This window comes from Homo sapiens, chromosome 22 (assembly GCF_000001405.40).
Source record: "Homo sapiens chromosome 22, GRCh38.p14 Primary Assembly".
In the NCBI taxonomy this organism is placed as follows: Eukaryota; Metazoa; Chordata; class Mammalia; order Primates; family Hominidae; genus Homo; species Homo sapiens.
This window is the reverse complement of record NC_000022.11, coordinates 38,590,267-38,610,777: the sequence shown is the minus strand read 5'-3', so window position 1 is coordinate 38,610,777 and position 20,511 is coordinate 38,590,267. Positions and strand designations below refer to the sequence as shown.

Sequence of the window (20,511 nt, the reverse complement as noted above, 5' to 3'; positions counted from 1 at the left end):
GAAAGTACTTTCTAAGTGGAAGGACGTGGTCTCTATGGGGAGTCTACCATGTTCAGGTTTTCTTTTGTTATTGTTTATTTTTGAGATGCAGTTTCGCTCTTGTTGCAATAGCGTGATCTCAGCTCACTGCAACCTCCACCTCCCATGTTCGGGTTTTCTTTGCATATATCCTCTCTAGTCCTTACAACAGCCCTGCAAGGTGGGTCATTATTACTTCTTATCTTTATTTGACAAAGCAGGTAATAGACTGGGGATAAATGGCTTGCCCCAGGCCACACAGCTGACCTCAGCTGATGTCAGGACACTGTCAGTCTGAGCTCTCTCTGCATCAGCAAGCTGCCTCTCCAGCAAGTAAGAGGGTCTAGTCACTGAAACCCAAGCGAATACCCCCGCATTGTTCTCTGCTCCACCGCAGAACTCTCTGAGGCCTGTTAAGAATGAGCCTTGCCAGGTTGCCAGGAGTGGTGGCTCAGGCCTGTAATCCTAACATTTTGGGGGACTAACGTGGGAGGATGGCTTGAGCCCAGGAGTTTGAGACCAGCCTGGGCAACATGGTGAGACTCCCTGTCTCTACCAAAAAAAAAATTTTTTTTTAAATTAGCCAGGTGTGGTGGTACATGCCTGTGGACCCAGCTGCATTGCACCACTGCACTCCAGCCTGGGTGACAGAGTAAAGACACTGTCTCTTAAAAACAAACAAAAAATGGCCGGGCCCAGTGGCTCACACCTGTAATCCCAGCACTTTGGGAGGCCAAGGTGGGCAGATCACCTGAGGTCAGGAGTTCGAGACCAGCCTGGCCAATAAGGCGAAACCCTGTCTTTACTAAAAATACAAAAACCTACCCAAGCGTGGTGGCGGGCGCCCGTAGTCCCAGCTACTCAAGAGGCTGAGGCGGGAGAATCACTTGAACCTGAGAAGCGGAGGTTGCAGTGAGCTGAGATCGCGCCCTTGCACTCCAGCCTGGGCAACAAGAGTGAAACTCCACCTCAAACAAAAAAAAAAAGAAAGAAAAGAAAAAGAATGAGCATTGATGCTTCATTGAGCCCTGGGAGTGTTTTCCCTGCAACCACCTCAACACTATAAAAACCAGTAGCTGTTGGACAGCCAGCTGCACGATGTCTGGGAAGTCCTTTCGGCTTTCTCCTGCCCATTCAAATATCCCATTTCTATAAAAGCAAACGGTTGTTGTTGAGGCTGGTGGACTGCTTGTCTGCCACTTGGTGGGCCATCTGTTTAACATTGCCAACCTCCTACTCATCCTAAAAGACAGAATGCAAATGTCTTCTCTCCTTGGAAGCCCTCCAGCTCTCGCCCAGACGAATCCAGCGTTCTTCGCTCTAGCTTCCCATGATACTCTCCTCATACCACTTGCGGCCAACTATGAGTTGTTTCCCAATATCTGTTGTCCCCTTCACCTGTGAAAACAAAACCTCCAATTTTTTGCTGGGCATGTACCTGGCTGAAATAAAGATTGTATTTCCTAGCCTCCCCTACCGCTACGTGTGGCCACGTGACTAAGATCCAGTTAATGAGATGTAAGTGGATGTGTCGTGTGGCAGTTTCTGGAAACCTTCCTTAAAAAACAGCTTTATCTCTTTGTCCTTTCCTCCCTCCTGCTGCCTGTAATGCGAATATGATGGCAGGAGCTCCAGATGCCTCCTTGGACCCTAAGAACAAGGATCTTGGCTGGGTGCAGTGGCTCATGCCTGTAATCCCAGCTCTTTGAGAGGCCAAGTTGGGCAGATCACCTGAGGTTGGGAGTTCAAGACCAGCCTGGCCAACATGGTGAAACCTTGTCTCCTAAAAATACAAAATTAGCTGGGTGTGGTGGCACACACCTGTAATCCCAGCTACTCGGGGAGCTGAGGCAGGAGTATCACTTGAACCCGGGAGGTGGAGGTTGCAGTGAGCCAAGATCACGCCATTGTACTCCACCCTGAGTAACGAGCAAAACTCCATCTCAAAAAAAAAAAAAAAAAAAAAGGAACAAGGGTCTTATTTTATCTTATGAAAGCTGGAACCGTGTGCTGGAAGAAGTCAGAATCTATCCTGGCACGGTGGCTCATGCCTGTAATCCCAGCACTTTGGGAGGCCGAGGCAGGTGGATCACTTGAGGTCAAGAGTTCGAGACCAACCTGACCATCATGGTGAAACCCCATCTCTAATAAAAGAACAAAAATTAGCTGGGCGTGGTGGCGGACACCTGTAATCCTAGCTACTCGGGAGGCTGAGGTAAGAGAATTGCTTGAACCCGGGAGGCAAAGGTTGCAGTGAGCCGAGATCGTGCCATTGCACTCCAGCCTAGGCAACGGAGCAAGATTCCGTCTCAAAAAAAAAAAGAATCCCTGAGGACTTAGCACCACCAGTGCTTAGAAACACCATATGAACCCAGGCTTGCCCGCCTTCAGACTTTTATGTGGGAGAGAAATGTATTTATATTTACTTATTTAAAGACAGGGTTTGCTCTGTCACCCAGGCTAGAGTACAGCAGCACAGTCATGGCTCACTGCAGCCTCAACCTTCCAGGCTCAAGCAATCCTCCCACCTCAGCCTCCCAAGTAGCTGGGACTACAGGTGCACACCAGCGTGCTTGGCTAATTTTTTTTTTTTTTTTTTTTTTTGTAGAGAAAAGGTCTCACTATGTTGCCCAGGATGGTGGGAGAGAAATTTCTACCTAGTTTGAGCCACTGTTATTTTGAGTCTCTGTCACATTCAAACATAATCCTAACTTCTATTGCCTCTCTATAACAAATCGGGGATGCTTTCCACACTTAAGTATAACTGTCTATTTCCTGTTATCTCCCCTGCTAGACTGGAAGCTCCTCAAGCCAGGGGCTCAGTTTCAGTGTTTGCCCAGTGCAAACACATTAGTAGTTGCCCAGTGAAACATTTGCTGAAAAAGGTGATTGCATAAAGGGTGACAGCAATGTTTTTGAAGCACTCACCTTGAGCACTCGTGTAATTTGCATGCATTTGCTGACTTAATCCTACAAGGAAACCAAGGCGGTAAAGAGGTTTGATGACTTGCCCCAGATCACTGGCTGTTGAGTGAGAGAATTGGGACTGGAACCCTGGTTGCCCTGGGTCCCCAGCCCATGTGTTCTCCACATCAGCCACTGCTGTCTGCCATGCTCCTGGGAGGACCTGAAAGGTCTCGTTCTGCATGTTCCTTTGCTGAGAACAGTAAGAAATAGCAAAGAAATTGCATGTATTACTTTTTTGTATTTCTCTCACTGCCAATTTTATTTTGTTCTCTCTCTCTCGCTTTCTCCCTCTCTTTCTCTCTCTTGTCTCCTGAAGTCTTCTAGTGCAAATTCACCCAGTGAAAAAACCTCTTCGGCCAAGCAGAACTCAGAAAAAAGCTTACGAATGCAGAATACTGCAAAAGGTATATTGACTACCAAAAAGGGAAATGTAGGCTTTTGGCTTAGTTATTGTCTCCAAAACCCTGGTTTCTTGGGTTCGTATGAACAGAATTTGCTGACCTACTTTATACTTGGGGTTCCAGCCTGGGCCTTGGCACCAAGTAATATTTTATGAAAGGATGTAGTTGTCTTTTCAGTTCAATAAGCATTGATTTTTTTTTTTTTTTTTTTTTTTGAGATGAAGTCTCACTCTGTCGCCCAGGCTGGAGTGCAGTGGCACAATCTCAGCTCACTGCAGCCTCCGCCTCCCAGGTTCAAGCGATTCTCCTGCCTCAACCTCCCAAGTAGCTGGGACTACAGGCGTGCGCTACCACGCCTGGCTAATTTTTGTATTTTTAGTAGAGACGCGGTTTCACCATGTTGGCCAGGCTGGTCTCGAACTCCTGACCTCATGATCCTCCCGCCTCGGCCTCTCAAAGTGCTGGGATGACAGGCGTGAGCCACCTCGCCCAGCCTAAGCACTGATTAAGTTCCACTTTTGTGGTGATGAGGTCAGCACAGTGCTGTTATCTGTGGGGAAGAGAGGTTACTGACACCAGAAGAAAATAAATTTAAGACATGATGACTGCTCCTGTCCCCCACCAGAAACCAGTAATTACTAAGGTTGGAACTAATTTGCACCCAGGTCTTAATTTATATTGGTGACTGTGATAGTACAGAGAGGTCAGTGCCATTGAAAGAAAAGTTTCATGTTACTTGCAATTCCCCTGGCAATTCGCCCTGGAAATCATGAGTAATGTTAAACTCAGCACACCATGCAGGGCCACAGCGGGAAGCACCAGTGCTGGCCAGGAGGCAGAAAGGAGCATGGGGAAGGGACAGGCCACACTCTTTTTTGAAGTTTCTCAGCAGGAAAGACAAAGCAAGGCATGGTAACCAGTTTAGGATTAGTTGCGTACATTACAGTGTAATCCCAACACTTTGGGAGGCTGAGGCAGTAGGATTGCTTGAGCCCAGAAGTTCAAGACCAGCCTGAGTAACATAGCAAGACCCTGTCTTTACAAAAAAAATTTTTAAATTAGCTGGACACCATGGTGCACATCTGTAGTCTGAGCTACTCAGGAGGTTGAGGTGGGAGGATCACTTGAGTCCAGGAGGTTGAGGCTACAGTGAGTCATGATTGAGCCACTGCACTCAAGCCTGGGTGACAGTGAGACCCTGTCTCAAAAAAAAATAAAAGTTTAGAATTGGCTGGATTGGATAATTCCAATGGGCTCTGGGGCATAGGGGCTGTCCCTAGTTGGCTTGGTGTGTGAGTTAGATATAAGAGTTGGTTCAAAGTGTGGCCTCTGGATTGTAGGAGAGGTATGTTAGCAATTTTGTCTGTTAGTCTAGCCCTGGTAATGAATGGATGGCAAATAGACAAATACGGAATATAAGAAAACACAGAACATGAACTGTTAAGTATCATCCTAGGTAATTTCACATCATTATTGTTATTTAAACTTTATTATTTTTTTGAGGGAGAAATGGAGGCTCAGAGAAGTTAGTATGCGAATTATGTCCCAGTAAAACTTTTAAAGAAAAAGCTTGGGGACCACTGATCAAGAGGTTTAGCCAGGGCTCTAAATAGAGGTAAATATTTGTAGGAAACTTTGCAAGTCCCCCAGAGCTTACATATATATTCAATTCACAAAGACCCATGTATCAAAGAGGAGTTGCCAAGGGAAATTAGAAAATATTTGAACTGAATGAAATGAGACCTTCTTTTCTAATATGAGCATTTATTTAAGGCTAGAGACTTCCCTCTAAACACTGCTTTAGCGGGGCACAGTGGCTCATGCCTGTAATCTCAGCACTGTGGGAGGCCAAGGTGGGCAGATCACTTGAGTCCAGGAGTTTGAGACCAGCTTGGTCAACATGGCGAAACCCCGTTTCTACTAAAACTACAAAATTTAACTGGGTGCGGTGGCACACACCTGTAATTCCAGCTACTCAGGAGGCTGAGGCACGAGAATTGCTTGAACCTAATGGTCATTTTCTTGCTAATGTCACATTGACAGAGCATCATTGTCAGACCCTGGTCTTGAAGAAACCTACGCAAGAAGTCAAGAGGATATCAGAAGCAAGAGAATGTGAGAATATGTTTCCTAAAAAGGTGAGCACATGATTGGAAATTTAATAGTAAAGGTGATTCCAAAGGGGGTGAGAGGTGTGGTAAGAAAATGATAATTAACATTTAATGAATATTTACTATATGCCAGGTACTATGCCAAACCTTATGCAAACAGTGCATTTTCTTCTACTGTCACAGTCCTCTGAGATAGTTACCATTGTTATTCTCCAGTTTATTAATGAGCAAAGTGATGCTGGGAGCAGGTACCCAATTTGTCAAATATCATAAAGCAAATAAGTGATACTAAAAGTAAAAAAATGAATAACAATAATAAAAAAATAAAGGCTGGATGCAGTGGTTCATGCCTGTAATCCCAGCACTTTGGGAGGCCGACGCAGGTGGATCACTTGAGGTCAGGAGTTTGAGACCAGTCTGGCCAACATGGTGAAACCCTGTCTCTACTAAAAAATACAAAAATTAGCTGGGCACGGTGGCGTGCCTATAATCCCAGCCACTTGGGAGGCTGAGGCAGGAGAATCGCTTGAACCTGGGAGGCGGATGTTGCAGTGAGCTAAGATCGCGCCACTGCACTCCAGCCTGGGCAACAGAGTCTGACTCCGTCTCAAAAAAAATAAATAAAAAAATAAAAAGCAAATAAGTGATAAAACCAAGATTTGCATGCAGATCTGCCTGGCTCTGAGCCTGAGCTCTCAACCACTGAGCTTTCCCTCTAGTGCAGTGCCCAGCACAGGAAAGTCACTAGCATCATTCTCTCCTCCTCCCCTTCCCCACAAACCTCAGTGGATGGTAGTTTATATCAATAGGAACTTCAGTCTTGTGTAGTGGGACCAGAACAGGGTGAGAGGTTTGGGAGCTTCCCCAGGCACCAGCTAGCAAGGGAGTCGGCCATAGAATTTGGGCCAAGTACCACAAGGAATGTAGATTTCTTGTTTTTTTGTTTTTGTTTTTTTGAGACAGTCTCAGTCTGTCACCCAGGCTGGAGTGCAGTGGTGCCGTCTCAGCTCACTGTAACCTCCACCTCCTGGGTTCAAGTGATTCTCGTGTCTCAGCCTCCCCAGTAGCTGGGACTACAGGCGTGTGCCACCACACCCGGCTAATTTTTGTATTTTTAATAGAGACGGGGTTTCACCATGTTGGCCAGGCTGGTCTCGAACTCGCGATCTCAGGTGATCCGCCCCCTTCGGCCTCCCAAAGTGCTGGGATTACAGGCATGAGCCACCACCCCTGGGCTAATCTTTTGACTTTAATCGTGGTGTTTTACCTTAGAAGTTTTTAATTATTATAGTCATATTTAGTAGTCTCTTATGGCTTTTAGATTTCATTTGTTGCTAAGCATTTTACCATTCTAAGATTATATAAAACATCTTCCCCAATTTTTTCCCAATATTTTATATTATTACCTATTCTCAATAAAATCTTTACTCACATAACCCCCCAGTATCACCAGGGGTCACTCTATTCCTTGGAATTTAGCTAAAAATTGGCTTAAGCATTTGTTATCTAATTTGTTTGAAGTCTAGTACCCTCTCAAATATGTTTGTGACCTCTGGGGGCCTGATGTTTTCCTGGCACTAAGCTCCTTGTCTGTCCTGCATACACTATGCACATACTAACTGCATCAGCCCGAATGTGGAACTCTTCTGATTTTTACAAAAACCACTCACAGAAGGCCTCTGTGTGCATGTATTTGTGTATATGGAAGAATGGAAGACTTTACTGAAGTTTAAAGAGATGAGGAGAGGGGTGCCCATACCACAGGAATGCAAATAATTTTTTTTTTTTTTTTTGAGACGGAGTCTCACTCTGTTGCCCAGGCTGGAGTGCAGTGGTGCGATCTTGGCTCACTGCAACTTCTACCTCCTGGGTTCAAGCTATTCTCCTGCCTCAGCCTCCCAAGTAGTTGGGATTACAGGTGTGTGCCACCACGCCCAGCTAATTTTTGTATCTTTAGTAGAGATGGGGTTTTGCCGTGTTGGTCAGGCGGGTCTCAAACTCCTAACCTCAAATGATCAGCCCACCTTGGCCTCCCAAAGGGATTACAGGCGTGAGCCACTGCTCCCAGCCCACAGTAATGCAAATAATTTTAAAATTAATATTAGTTGGCTGGGTATGGTGGCTCACACCTGTAATCCAAACACTTTGGGAGGTCGAGGTGGGCAGATCACCTAAGGTCAGGAGTTCGAGACCAGCCTTGCCAACATGGCGAAACCCCACCTCTACTAAAAATACAAAAATTATCCAGGCATGGTGGCAGGTGCCTGTAATCCCAGCTACTCGGGAGGCTGAGGCAGGAGAATTGCTTGAACCCAGGAGGCGGAGGTTGCAGTGAGCAGAGATTGCGTCACTGCACTCCAGCCTGGGCGACAGAGTGAGACTCCATCTCAAAAACAACAACAACAACAACAAAAAGCAAAACTTCAAGCCCAAATGCAGTAGAGGCCAGATCTCCCCCTCAAAAACACACCAGAGTCAGGGGCTGTTAGGAAAGGGGAAGGACGCTGGGTTGCCAAAGAATCACCCTCAGAGAAACCTTGCACTGCATTAGTGGATCCCAGATGCTGGACTTTCGTAGGCTTTGAAAAAAAATTTATTTTTTTACTAAGTAAATTCATTAAAACAAAATGACTGCTGTCTGTCGTCAGTAGCATTTTATAAAAGAAAGTCATTAATATCACAAATGAAAAAATTTAAAAAGGTCTTTGAAGTGAATCAATTTACTTAGAGTCGTGTAGATTTTTCCTTGTTTCACTCATTTCCCTGGTGACCACTGGACACAGCATGGCCTCCATTAGGAGACAGCATGTCAGAATCACTGGACCAAATGATCTATAAATTCCCTGCTAACTCCAGGTTTCTGTGATTCCAGTGGTATCTTGCTGTTAGAATAGTGGTTCTCAACTGGGGCAATTTTGTCCTCTGGGAGACATTTGGCCAGCTCTGAAGACATTTCTAGTTGTTAGAACTGGGGGCAGGGGGACATTGGGGGAGGCCAGGGATGCTCCTCAGCATCCTACAGTGCACAGGAGAGCCTCCCACAACAAAGAAATATCCAGCCCCAAATGTCAGTAGTGCTGAAGTTGAGAAACCTTGCTGGAGACAGAAGAAATCCCATTAGACAATTAATTAAATGCAACCCTATCCCATTAGAACAGGATTAGAAAATAGTGTGATTGGGTACTGCTGCAGCCTTTATTTGTGAAGTGGAATTTTTGTTCCATTAAGGTATAACTGCTTCTTCAAAATAAAATGTATTTTTTTTTAAACACAAAAGCAGTATTGTCATTTTTGGAAAAAGGCAGAAGAAAACAAACCATTCTTGGCCCCAGCCTGTTCTCTTTCTGATCTGTTTCCTCCTGGCTGTCTATTAGCATCTCAAATAGCATCCAAAACGGGACTTGACTTTCCCACCGCCCCAGCCTGTTCCTCCCCAGATTGTCCCACCTGAGCAGCTGACACCCAAGTCCTCTGAGCCGCCCTAGACTCTTCTCTTTCTCACACCTACGTAGAGTTGAGTCCATCAGCAAATCTTGCCAGTTCTCCTTTATCATATGTTGTAAATTTGCTCACTTCTCACCCCTTGTCTGCAATCACCAAGTCCTGGGCCCCATCAGCAATTCCCCAACTCCTGCAGGGGCCTCCTGACTGCTCTTCTGCACCCATTCTTACCCTCACAGTCATTTCTCCTCCCATCAGTCAAAGAGACCTTAACAGATTACTCAGATTATATTGTACCCCAGCTCAGAATCTGCCAGTGGCTTCCATGACCCTTAGAAAAATATCCCAGCTCCTCACCATGACCACAGCACCTGCTCCCTCTGCACCCGCCCCCACCCCTGTGAGCCACCTCATTTCTGCCCCTCAGCCACACCAAGCACATATCAGTGGCTGGATCTGTTGCACCTGCTGTCCTCTTAGCCAGGAACAACTCCTGATAGACCTTCCCATGGCTCCCTTCCCCACAGCATTCAGGATCCCTGGGGTCTCACCTCCTCACAGCCTTCCCTGATCACGCCATGGAACCCCAGTCCTCTCCTCCCTACCACTCTCCATACCCTGGCCTGATTGATCTTATTAGTATTCATCATATCATGTTATTCCTTTATTTGTTGATTTTTTTCATTGTTTTCTTCCAACTGTAATGTAAACTCCATAAGGGCTGGAATTTGTCTTGTTCTCTGCTGAATCTCCAGCACCTAAAATAGTATTTATACATAGTAATCACTCAATACATATTTGCTGAATGAATTATTAACGTTTTGGTAAGAGCCTTCCAGTCTCTCATCTATCTGTTTTTTACTAAATAATTTTCTTTTTTTTTTTTTTTGAGACGGAGTCTCACTCTGTCGCCAGGCTGGAGCGCAATGGTGCAATCTCGGCTCACTGCAACCTCCGCCTCCCAGATTCAAGTGATTCTCCTGCCTCAGCCTCCTGAGTAGCTGGGACTACAGGCGCATGCCACCAAGCCCAGCTAATTTTTGTATTTTTAGTAGAGACAGGGTTTTACCATGTTGGCTAGGATGGTCTCAATCTCTTGATCTTGCGATCTGCTTCGGCCTCCCAAAGTGCTGGGATTACAGGTGTGAGCTACCGCACCTGGCTTTTACTAAATTATTTTCTATAAAATATATAACACTATCGGCTGGGCATGATGGCTCATGCCTATAATCCAAGCACTTTGGGAGGCCAAGGCGGGCAGATTACCTGAGGTCAGGAGTTTGAGACCAGCCTGGCCAACGTGGTGAAACCCTGTCTCTACTAAAAATACAAAAATTAGCTGGGCATGGTGGCTGGTGGGCCCCTGTAATCCCAGCTACTCGGGAGGCTGAGATAGGAGAATTGCTTGAATCTAGGAGATGGAGGTTGCAGTGAGCTGAGATTGTGCCACTGCACTCCAGCCTGGGCGATAGATTGAGACCCAAGTCTCAAAAATAAAATAAAATTATATATATATATATATACATACATACACATACACACACACATATAAAAAACACTATCAAACTTTGCATCTCAGTATTTAAAAATTTACTATTATACCTGAAACCTTTTTTAGGTTATCAACTCTTCATAAACATTTTAATAGTGACATACCATTCCTTTGGGTAAAGAGATCAATGTCTTCTTGAACATTTAAGTTATTCTCATATTTTGCTATGTATAGTAAACATCTCTGCAGTGGACATCTTTGCCCCTTGACCTTTTTTTGCTTTATTTTGAGTAATTTTCTTAGGGTGCATCCTAAAACTGGAATTACTGGATCAAAGGACATGAGTGCTTTGATGCCTTTCTGGTTCTTAATACAGACTGTAAAAATGACAATATCCTTTATTTTTCCTTTTTCTTTCATCCTTAGTCGTGTGCTGCCTGCAAAAGCCCTGAGCTGACTTCAAACCTCTTCAACATTTATGGGAAGAGCCCTCTGATTGTGTACTTTCTCCAGAACTATGCCAGTCTGCAGCAGCACGGCAAGAATGTGTTGATAGTCAGAAGGGAAAAGACCACGAGCACCCCATATCCTTGTCACTGTGGGCAGGGTGCGCACTGCTCCAGGCCCCCGCGTCCTCTTCCCAGAAGCAAAGGTCAGGGAATGGCACCCAGGCCTTAGCACAGCGCCTGGCACACCATGTGTACTCGCCAGAGGTGGCCAGTGGTGCGAGCCTCAGGGTCAGAATCGTGCTCATCTTAGTTCCAAATCTAGAGCCAGCCTCGTGAACTGGCCATGAGACCCCAGGGTGTGTCAAATTTCCTTGTGTGCAAAATCTGTTTTCCACCTACCAGAATGAATGTGCTAACTTGGTATTCTAACATATATTGAAACTAAATAGTGCTTCCCAGACACTCGTTGACCCCAGAGTATGTACTGACCAGGAATTTTGTTGTCCACATGTATGTTTCATCTAACACCCTCCTCAGACACATTCCTCCCTTAGACCCATCAGCATATTCCTGGCCCTGTTGCCATTTATCCTAAAGATCTAATAGAAAGCTCAGATCTCAAGAGAACAGGTGTGGTTGGCCAGGCGTGGTAGCTCACGCCTGTAATCCCAGCACTGTGAGAGCCGAGATGAGCGGATCATCTGAGGTAAGGAGTTTGAGACCAGCCTGGCCAACATGGTGAAACCCCGTCTCTACTAAAAATACAAAAAAAATTAGCTGGGCCTGGTGGTGCGTGCCTGTATAATCGCAGCTACTTGGGAGGCTGAGGCAGGAGAATCGCTTGAACCCAGGAGGCGGAGGTTGCAGTGACCCGAGATCACGCCATTGCACTGCAGCCTGGGCAGCAAGAGTAAAACTCCATCTCAAAAAAAAAAAAAAAAGAAAGAAAACAAGTGTGGCCTATATTGGTGTCCTGAGTCTTAGCAGCTTACCATAGGAGTCAGAGAACACGGGTTCTATTTGGAATCAAACTGGTCTATTGGTTCAAACACACCTGGACTCAGGAACCAACTCTACTGCAAACCGAGTGATTTGAGATAAGTTCCAGCTTCTCTCTGTGCCTCATTTTTTTCACCTGTAAAATAGGGATAAGAGTACCTGCCTCATAGGGCTATTATGCAGATTACAGACACAACAGAGATAAAGGCTAGTGCCTGGCAGATAACAAGGGCTGGGATGATCCACGTCTACATTGAGCTCCCCAACAGGAGGAGTTTCGTAATGAACTAGGAGGACTTTGCGTCTTCTGCACAGAACTGCATGTCCGCAAACTTATTTACATGTTCTATAGGGAGAGAGTAATAACAACAACTCACATTTCATAGTGTTTTATTTCTTGCAACATGTTTTCCCAAACATCACTTCATTGTTCTCTAAAGACAGTTTAGTGTAGTGGAAGGAACCTGGGTTGGGATATGCAGCCCTAGATTTGAGTCCCAGTTTAGCAACCACTGGCTTTGAGATCTTATGTGCACAGCTCGACCTCCAAGCTCAATATCTTTATCTACTCATTCCTAAAATTTGGATAGTTATACCAAACTTACAGTGTTGTGATGAGGATTAAATGGCATACAGCTGATACTACATAAATAACTACCAGGATTATGATTAACATCATCTAAAGTGGGCATTATTATCTCTGTTTTACAGATATGGAAATGGAGGCACAGAGGATGACTGCTATCTTGTCTGAGGTCCCACAGCTTGTGGCGAGTGTAGCTGAGATTCTAACCAATCAAGAAGGGGTGGAAGGAGGGCAGAGCAGAGGGAGAATTTTCTTTTTTTTTTTTTTTTTTGAGACAGAGTCTCACTCTGTTGCCTAGGCTGGAGTGCAGTGGCGCGATTTCGGCTCACCGCAACTTCCGCCTCCTGGGTTCAAGCGATTCTCCTGCCTCAGCCTCCCAAGTAGCTGGGATTACAGGCATGTGCCACCATGCCCAGCTAATTTTTTGTATTTTTAGTACAGATGGGATTTCACAGTGTTAGCCAGGATGGTCTCAATCTCCTAACCTCGTGATCCGCCTGCCTTGGCCTCCCAAAGTGCTGGGATTACACCGCGCCTGGCCAAGAATATTTTTATATACAAACGAGATGGAGAATGAGGCCTTGGGCTGAGAGAAAAGGAAAGCTGGGAGCCCTTCCTATTCACCGCTGTGATAATAGAATAAGAATTTCAGATGACAGTCTAAAAAAGTATTTCTTAGCCCTGCCTTCCATCCACAGGGGCAGAGAAGGACTTTATTCCTACGTAGAGAACGCCTGGCCACGGATAGGATGGCCTCTTCCCTCCAAAGCAGGCCATGGTCAAAGAGCAGGAGAGTCATCTCTTGCTCAGATTTCAGGTATCTTATCCAGAAACGCAGGGCATTTTCCCTGTTCTGTCCTCCATGCCCCTCTTCCCCATGCACTGCGCTCATGCCACTAATAATGCAGCGTCAACACAGTTCCACAGTACGGGGATTTCCTTGACAGCGGAAGCCACTGACTGCACCCCAACGTATACTGATGTCATCAGCGAGACCCTGTGCAGCATGAAGAAGCGGAAAGACAACCTCAATCAGTTGTACCAGCATCATTGGACTGAATGGAATTATTTTGACAAGCATCTAAAGGAGCTGCAAGACAACTTCTCCAGGTATGGAAGGGGCTTTGGGGAATGCCGTTGTTCCGCACTTATCTTTTGCAGCACACGATCATCATCATTTTTAAATGGGTTGGTGGGGCAGGGGGGTTTCCTGTAACCATCATAAGCATAATCAGCTTTCTTGTGGTCAGATTATAAACTCCTAATAACAGAGACCAGAGCTTTTTTTGTTGTTATTTTTTTTTTCTAACTACAAAAACATTATGTGTTCAATGAAAGCAAACAAAGGACCCGGAAACCACATAAAAGTACCAAGAGATACACATTGCCAACATTTTCCTATAAATCCTTCCAGTCTTTTTTTTCTGGGCCCATATATCCGTATCACTAAATAAAGTAGTGTAGAGTCATACTGTTGGTCTGTTTTTTAGACCTATTTTTTCCCACTAGCAGCATATTATGGACATTTTCCTCTGTCTTCTGCCTTTTTCAGAAATTTTATTTTACTTAGAAAAACCTTTCAGAAAGTTGATAGTACACTGAACTGTCCATCAGGATAGTACACTGAACTGTCCATCAGGATAGTACACTGAACTGTCCATCAGGCATTTGCCAAGTATTCACATTTTGCCCCATTTGCTTTCTCTCTCTAATAGCTAATCCAAATTCAGATTTCCCCAATTGTCCCCAAAATGTATTTTAATTTTTAGAGACAGGGTCCCACTCAGTCACCCGGGCTGCAGTGCAGCAGCTCAATTACAGCCTGCTGCAGCCTCAAACTCCTGGGTTCAAGTGATCCTCCTTCCTTAGCCTCCTCTGGAGTGCTGGGATTACAGACACGAGCCACTGTGCCTAACTCAGTGTGTCTTTGGCTTTACCTGCTGCTCCAGGATCCAATCAAGAATCACAAATTATATTTTGTTTTTTGTTTTTTGAGCCAGAGTCTCACTCTGTTGCCTAGGCTGGAGTGCAGTGGTGTGATCTTGGCTCACTGCAGCCTCTGCCTCCTGGGCTCAAGCAATCCTCCCGCCTCAGCCTCCCGAGTAGCTGGGACTATAGGTGTGCACCACCATGCCCGGCTAATTTTTGTGTTTTTAGTAGAGAAGGGGATTCACCATGTTGCCTGGTTGGTCTCAAACGCCTGACCTCAGGTGATCTGCCCCTGCCTCAGCCTCCCAAACTGTTGAGATTATAGGCGTGAGCCACCGTGCCTAGCCAGAAATTGTATTTAGTTTTATCTCTTTGGTGTCTTTGAATCTATAACAGTATCCTGCCCCCCCCCCCTTATTAGTTGTTTTTTTATGACATGGACTTTTTTGAAAAGCTCAAGCCACATTCTGGGTTTTTCTGATATTTCCTCAAAGTAGCATTGAATTTGTTCCAATATAGCCTATGTTTTCTGTACACTGGACATTAGGTCTATGCTAGAGGTTTGATTAGATTCAAGTTAAATCATTTTGCCCAAAATCTTTCACAGGTGATGTTGTATATTTATGTTGCATCCCATTAGGAGGCATATCATGTCAGGTTGCTCTGCTACTGGTGATGCTAAGTTTAAACACTTGGTTAAACTGGTATCTACCAGATCTCTGCATTGTAAGAGCACATGTTTGTCTTTCTAATTAGTCAGGAATAAATGATGTGATTCTCCCAGACTGTGTGAATGTGCTTCCCCAACATCTTTCACACAGTGGTTTTAGCACTCATCAGTGGTCTTTGCCTGATTAACTATTACATTTAAGGTTGCAAAATGGTGATTTTTCTACTTCTGCCATTCCTTCTACATTTATTAGCTGGCATTTTTCCATAAAGAATAGCTCACTTTCTTTTATCTTTCTTTGTCTCTCTCATGTCTTTCCTTCATGCCCCTATAACTCTTTCATGGAGCCACCCTGTCTGCAAGGGAAGCATGGGAAATATCTGGCCAAGGAGGGCGAGATTTCCACAACTGGACTGGACCTTCCATAGAACTGGGCACTTTGTTGTCCAAAACAAAATGGGATTCAGTTTACAAACGAGAAAGAGGGAATTGCTATTGGCTAGACAGCTATCCATGTCTCCCATAATAAGAGGGACAGAAAAATATGAATATGTAGATAAATACTTTGTTATGCAATATAATACAATTGGGTTTTATTTTTATTTTTATATATTTTTTGAGATGGAGTCTCGCTCTGTCGCCAGGCTGCATTGCAGTGGTGCAATCTCGGCTCACTGCAACCTCCGTCCCCCAGGTTCAAGCGATTCTCCTGCCTCAGCCTCCCAAATATCTAGGATTACAGGCACATGCCACCACGCCTGGCTAATTTTTTGTATTTTTAGTAGAGACAGGGTTTCACCGTGTTAGCCAGGATGGTCTCGATCCCCTGACCTCGTGATCCACCCCCCTCGGCCTCCCAAAGTGCTGGGATTACAGGCGTTAGCCACCATGCCTGGCCTTTTAATTTTGCATTTTTAGTAGAGACTGGGTTTCACCATGTTGGCCAGGATGGTCTTGACCTCTTGACCTCATGATCTGCTCGCCTCAGCCTCCCAAAGTGCTGGGATTACAGGCATGAGCCACCGCACCCGGCCACAATTGAGTTATTTATAAAATACTATGGGACACAGACCACACACATTCACAAAACCCCATTAGACATCACCACCACCAACACCACAGGAATGCAGTTCAGCATTAATGTTCATCAAAAGATGATTGGTTAAATAAAACTATCATACCTCCATACTCTGCAGCCAAGAAAAACCTCCCTCTATTTTTGTTTTACAAGGAAAGATGGTCACAACATATTATTGGACCGAAGTGTAGGTTATAAGACAGTGTGTTTAAAGTGGTACAATTATTTACTTATCCCCATTTTACAGATGTGGAAGCTGAGGTTGAGGACAATCTTGGAGGGCAACCACATAAGTCAGGGAGGACAGAATATTCTGTAAGGGGAGGAGTGACCAGAAGGGAAGGAGGAGAGTCCATATATGCAGACACACTGACCATAAAGCCAAGGGGACAAAGGACAGTAGGGAAGCAGCAAGCAGCAATGTAGTGGCCAGACTCCAAAACGTGGGGCAGAGACAGGTAGGCGACTTGGTAGAGGGCAGTCTCAACAAGGCTAAAGTCGGAAGGCAGAGCCTGGGACGTGAAGGGGAAGATGTAAGTCCCTGTGGATGGATGGGATTCCTAGGAAGCAGAAGGAATAAAATTCTGCATCAAAAAGGCAAGATCAGATGGTAAGTAACAGGGGCTATTTAAACATAAGGTAGAAGGCTGGTCACAGTAGCTCACACCTGTAATCCCAGCACTTTGGGAGGCCGAGGCGGGTGGATCATTTGAGGTCAGGAGTTTGAGACCAGCCGGGCCAACATGGTGAAACCCCGTCTCTACTAAAAATAGAAAAAATAGCTGGGTGGTAGTGGCGCACACCTGTAATCCCAGCTACTTGGGATGCTGAGGCAGGAGAATCGCTTGAGCCTGGGAGGCAGAAGTTGCGGTGAGCCGGGAGCATGCCAGTGCACTCCAGTCTGGGTGACAGAGTGAGACCCTGTCTCTAAATAAATAAATAAACATAAGGTAGAAGACCCAAGCCTGTGTGAAGGGGGAGAGATTGAACATGTAAGTGAGGGAGGAGAGGGTCGGGATGGAGAAGGGAGAAGACATAGGGACTGCTCTTTGGGGCTCTTTGCTTCTGCCTCTGTAACTGTTGTTCATTATGCTTTATTTATTCTTTTTTTGTTTTGTTTTGTTTTGTTTTAGAGACGGAGTCTTGCTCTGTCGCCCAGGCTGGAGTGCAGAGGCGCAGTCTCGGCTCACTGCAAGCTCCGCCTCCTGGGTTCATGCCGTTCTCCTGCCTCAGCCTCCCAAGTAGCTGGGACTGCAGGTGTCCGCCACCATGCCCGGCTAATTTTTTTGTATTTTTAGTAGAGACGGGGTTTCACCGTGTTAGCCAGGATGGTCTTGATCTCCTGACCTTGTAATCTGCCTGCCTCAGCCTCCCGAAGTGCTGGGATTATAGGCGTGAGCCACTGCGCCCAGTCCATTATGCTTTATTTATTCTGTAGTTCATTGTCCCAACAGATTTTCAGCACCTTCTGGGCACCAGGCATTATGATTGCTCTCATATCTGTCTCTCCCAATAGTCGTAACAAGCCTTGATGGCGGGATCCATGGAATGGCAGAGGCTAAGGTTGGGATACAGGTCTTTTTACTTACTGGTTCTGTGACCATGGACTATTAAACTATTTTTGCCTTTTTAAGGCCACAGGCAGGTCTGGCTATGGGGCTAAGTTTTAGCCATGGAATAAAAATGGAAGGGTTATTTGCACACACCTCACTGATCCTCAGTCGTTTTGTTGTACTTCAGTCATTTGATAGTATTTCCTACTTTGTAGGGTTGTATTGATCAAATAAATTAAGGTCTGTAAAGACTTTTCTCAGAACTAGGCCCATAGGTAGGTAATTGTATCAGTTATAATTAGGTTTGGCTTAGAGTGACAGAAAAACTCAAACAGTGGCTAAAATTTATTACAATTTCTTTTCTCTCATTTACAAGGACTCCAGTAGATATGAAAGTTCATAGTGACAGGGTCTCAAGATCTTTTATCATATTGTTCCACTAGCTTCAGCCCATGATTTAGCTTCAGCCCATGATTTAACTTCATGGTAAGAAATGGCTGCTCAAGTTCCAGCCACCACGTCCACATTTCATCCAGTTCAAAGGAAGATGAGTCCAAAGAAATGCATTTCTTCTGGAAGTTGCAAATAACCCTTCCATTCCATGGCCAGAACGTTTTAAAGTTCAGAACTAGTTTAAAATTAACATTAAATTCATATAGAATATCCAGGATTAAGTTTATAGCTTATATATTTCAGAAATAAAGGATACTCTTGTTTAATAAATAAATTCTCATTAGGTGAATTGTAGTAAAGATTTTTTTGTCAAGAGGAAGTTTGTAACTGTGTGTTAGCAGTTGCATTGCTAAATACATCACTTTTTGTTGTTTAAGATACTGTTGCTGGGCGCAGTGGTTCACGCCTGTAATCCCAGCACTTGGGGAGGCCGAGGTGGGCGGATCATGAGGTCAGGAAATCGAGACCATCCTGGCTAACACTGTGAAACCCGTCTCTACTGAAAATACAAAAAATTAGCTAGGCATGGTGGCATGCACCTGTAATCCCAGCTACTCGGGAGGCTGAGGCAGGAGAATCGCTTGAACCCAGGAGGCGGAAGTTGCAGTGAGCCAAGATCATGTCACTGCACTCCAGCCTGGGCGACAGAGCAAGACTCCATCTCAAAAAAAAAAAAAGAAAAAAAGATATTGTTGAGAAGCTCATCATGCCTTATATTAATAAAGTGATTCTCAAAGTTTTGTCTACAGATAAAAGCGGTGCCTTAAAACACAACTGTGCTACTAGACATCAGGGCAGGGTTGCTCTTAAGGAAGTAGGATAGTGACTGAGCAGGGATGTGAGACAGCTTCTAAGGAGCTGGCAGCGTTCTCTTTCTCGATCCGAGTGCTGGTTACATGGGCGTGCTCAGTATATGAAAATTTCTTGAGCTGCACACTTAGAATCTGTGCACTCCTAGTTTCTATGTTATACTTCAATGCATGTTTTGTAAATGGTCACGTGGATCTATCAGTTTATAGGACATACAGAACATTGAGGACATGTTAATCACTCCAGCCTTTTTCCATATGTCTCTGTGTTTTCCTCCCAGGGAAATGAAGAATATTGATCCAAAAGCAGCAGATACAAAAAAGGCAAACCACATGTTCATCCCACCTTCAGCCGTCAATGAGGAATCACCTGACAAGAAAACTAAGGGAAGTCTCCAAAGAGAAATTGAGTTTAAGGGTTGTTCGAACAAAAACCATGGGAAAGGTAGAAGTGTGAACATGTAAGAATAATAATTATTTTATTTTATTTTATTTTACTGAGACAGAGTCTCACTCTCTCCTCAAGGCTGAGTGCAGTGGTGCCATCATAGCTCACTGCAGCCTCCACCTCCTGGGCTCAAGCAATCCTCCCACTTCAGCCTCCTGAGTAGCTGGGACCACAGGTGTGTGCCACCATGCCCAGCTCATTTTTTATTTTTGTAGAGTTGGGGGTATCACTATGTTGCCCAGGCTGGAAAATTCTTAAAACACAGGAAAGAGCATATAAAAGTTCACTTATGGCCAGGCACTGTGGCTCACGTCTGTAATCCCACTACTTTGGGAGGCCGAGGTGGGCGGATCATGAGGTCAGGAGATCGAGACCATCCTGGCCAACATGGTGAAACCCCATCTCTACTAAAAATACAAAAATTAGCTGGGCATGGCAGTACGTGCCTGTAATCCCAGCTACTCGGGAGGCTGAGGCAGGAGAATCGCTTGAACCCGGGAGCTGGAGGTTGCAGTGAGCCGAGATCACGCCACTACACTCCATCCTGGAGACAGAATGAGACTCCGTCTCAAAAAAAAAGTTCACTTACTTTTATGTATTACTCACACCACTCTCATTTTAGTTTTAGTGTTATTATTGGTAGTAGTAAGGGCTACTAATGATTTTGTACTTCCTCTGTACCAAGTGTTGGCCTATGTACTTCATGAACTGTATGAGACAGAGCTCCTTGGTTGCATGTGCCAGGAAGCCAGCTCAAACTAGCTTAAATGGAAGGAGAATGTAGCAGCTTAAATAACTGGGAAGGTCATGATAGGCCATCTGCAGGCATATTAGACCTGACAGCTTGATATTTTCAGGCTCTTTCTCTGTCTGTCTCTTGATCCTCTTCCCTTCTGTGGGCTGACTTCTTTTTCAAGCTGCCTCTGCCTCAGGGCCATGGACAGCCCAAGTCTGTCTCCTTATAGTCCTGACCTAAAAAGCCATGTCCACTTTGCTGGAGCACATCTTCTAGCAGTTCCCAAAACGAAGGTATATGGGAAATTATTTGAGTCTTTGCATATCCAAAACATCTTTTTTTTTTTTTTTTTTTTTTTGAGATGGAGTCTC

The 20,511-nt window shown here is 44.9% G+C and overlaps 1 protein-coding gene across 18 annotated transcripts in view, besides 1 other annotated feature; it reads left to right on the top strand.

Annotated features, from left to right (window-relative positions):
* Positions 1 to 20,511, top strand: part of FAM227A (family with sequence similarity 227 member A) — a 78,275-nt gene that overhangs the window by 45,615 nt on the left and 12,149 nt on the right. For 13 of the 18 annotated variants that reach the window (NM_001384270.1, XM_047441459.1, XM_011530311.2 and 10 more), the window contains 5 exons: positions 3,302 to 3,389; positions 5,430 to 5,524; positions 10,857 to 11,014; positions 13,422 to 13,574; positions 19,238 to 19,417. In NM_001384270.1, coding sequence (NP_001371199.1) covers positions 3,302 to 3,389; positions 5,430 to 5,524; positions 10,857 to 11,014; positions 13,422 to 13,574; positions 19,238 to 19,417 — 674 coding nt within the window. Of the gene's footprint in view, positions 1 to 3,301; positions 3,390 to 5,429; positions 5,525 to 10,856; positions 11,038 to 13,162; positions 13,282 to 13,411; positions 13,575 to 19,237; positions 19,418 to 20,511 lie in introns of those variants that run through there. The other 5 variants (XR_937892.2, NM_001384271.1, NM_001013647.2 and 2 more) reach the window with 2 other exon arrangements.
* Positions 12,027 to 12,227: a silencer, noted in NCBI's record as "peak4493 fragment used in MPRA reporter construct". NCBI's record gives its function as "represses an SCP1 promoter by STARR-seq MPRAs in K562 erythroleukemia cells {active_cell/tissue: K562}" and the evidence as "EXISTENCE:reporter gene assay evidence [ECO:0000049][PMID:32103011]".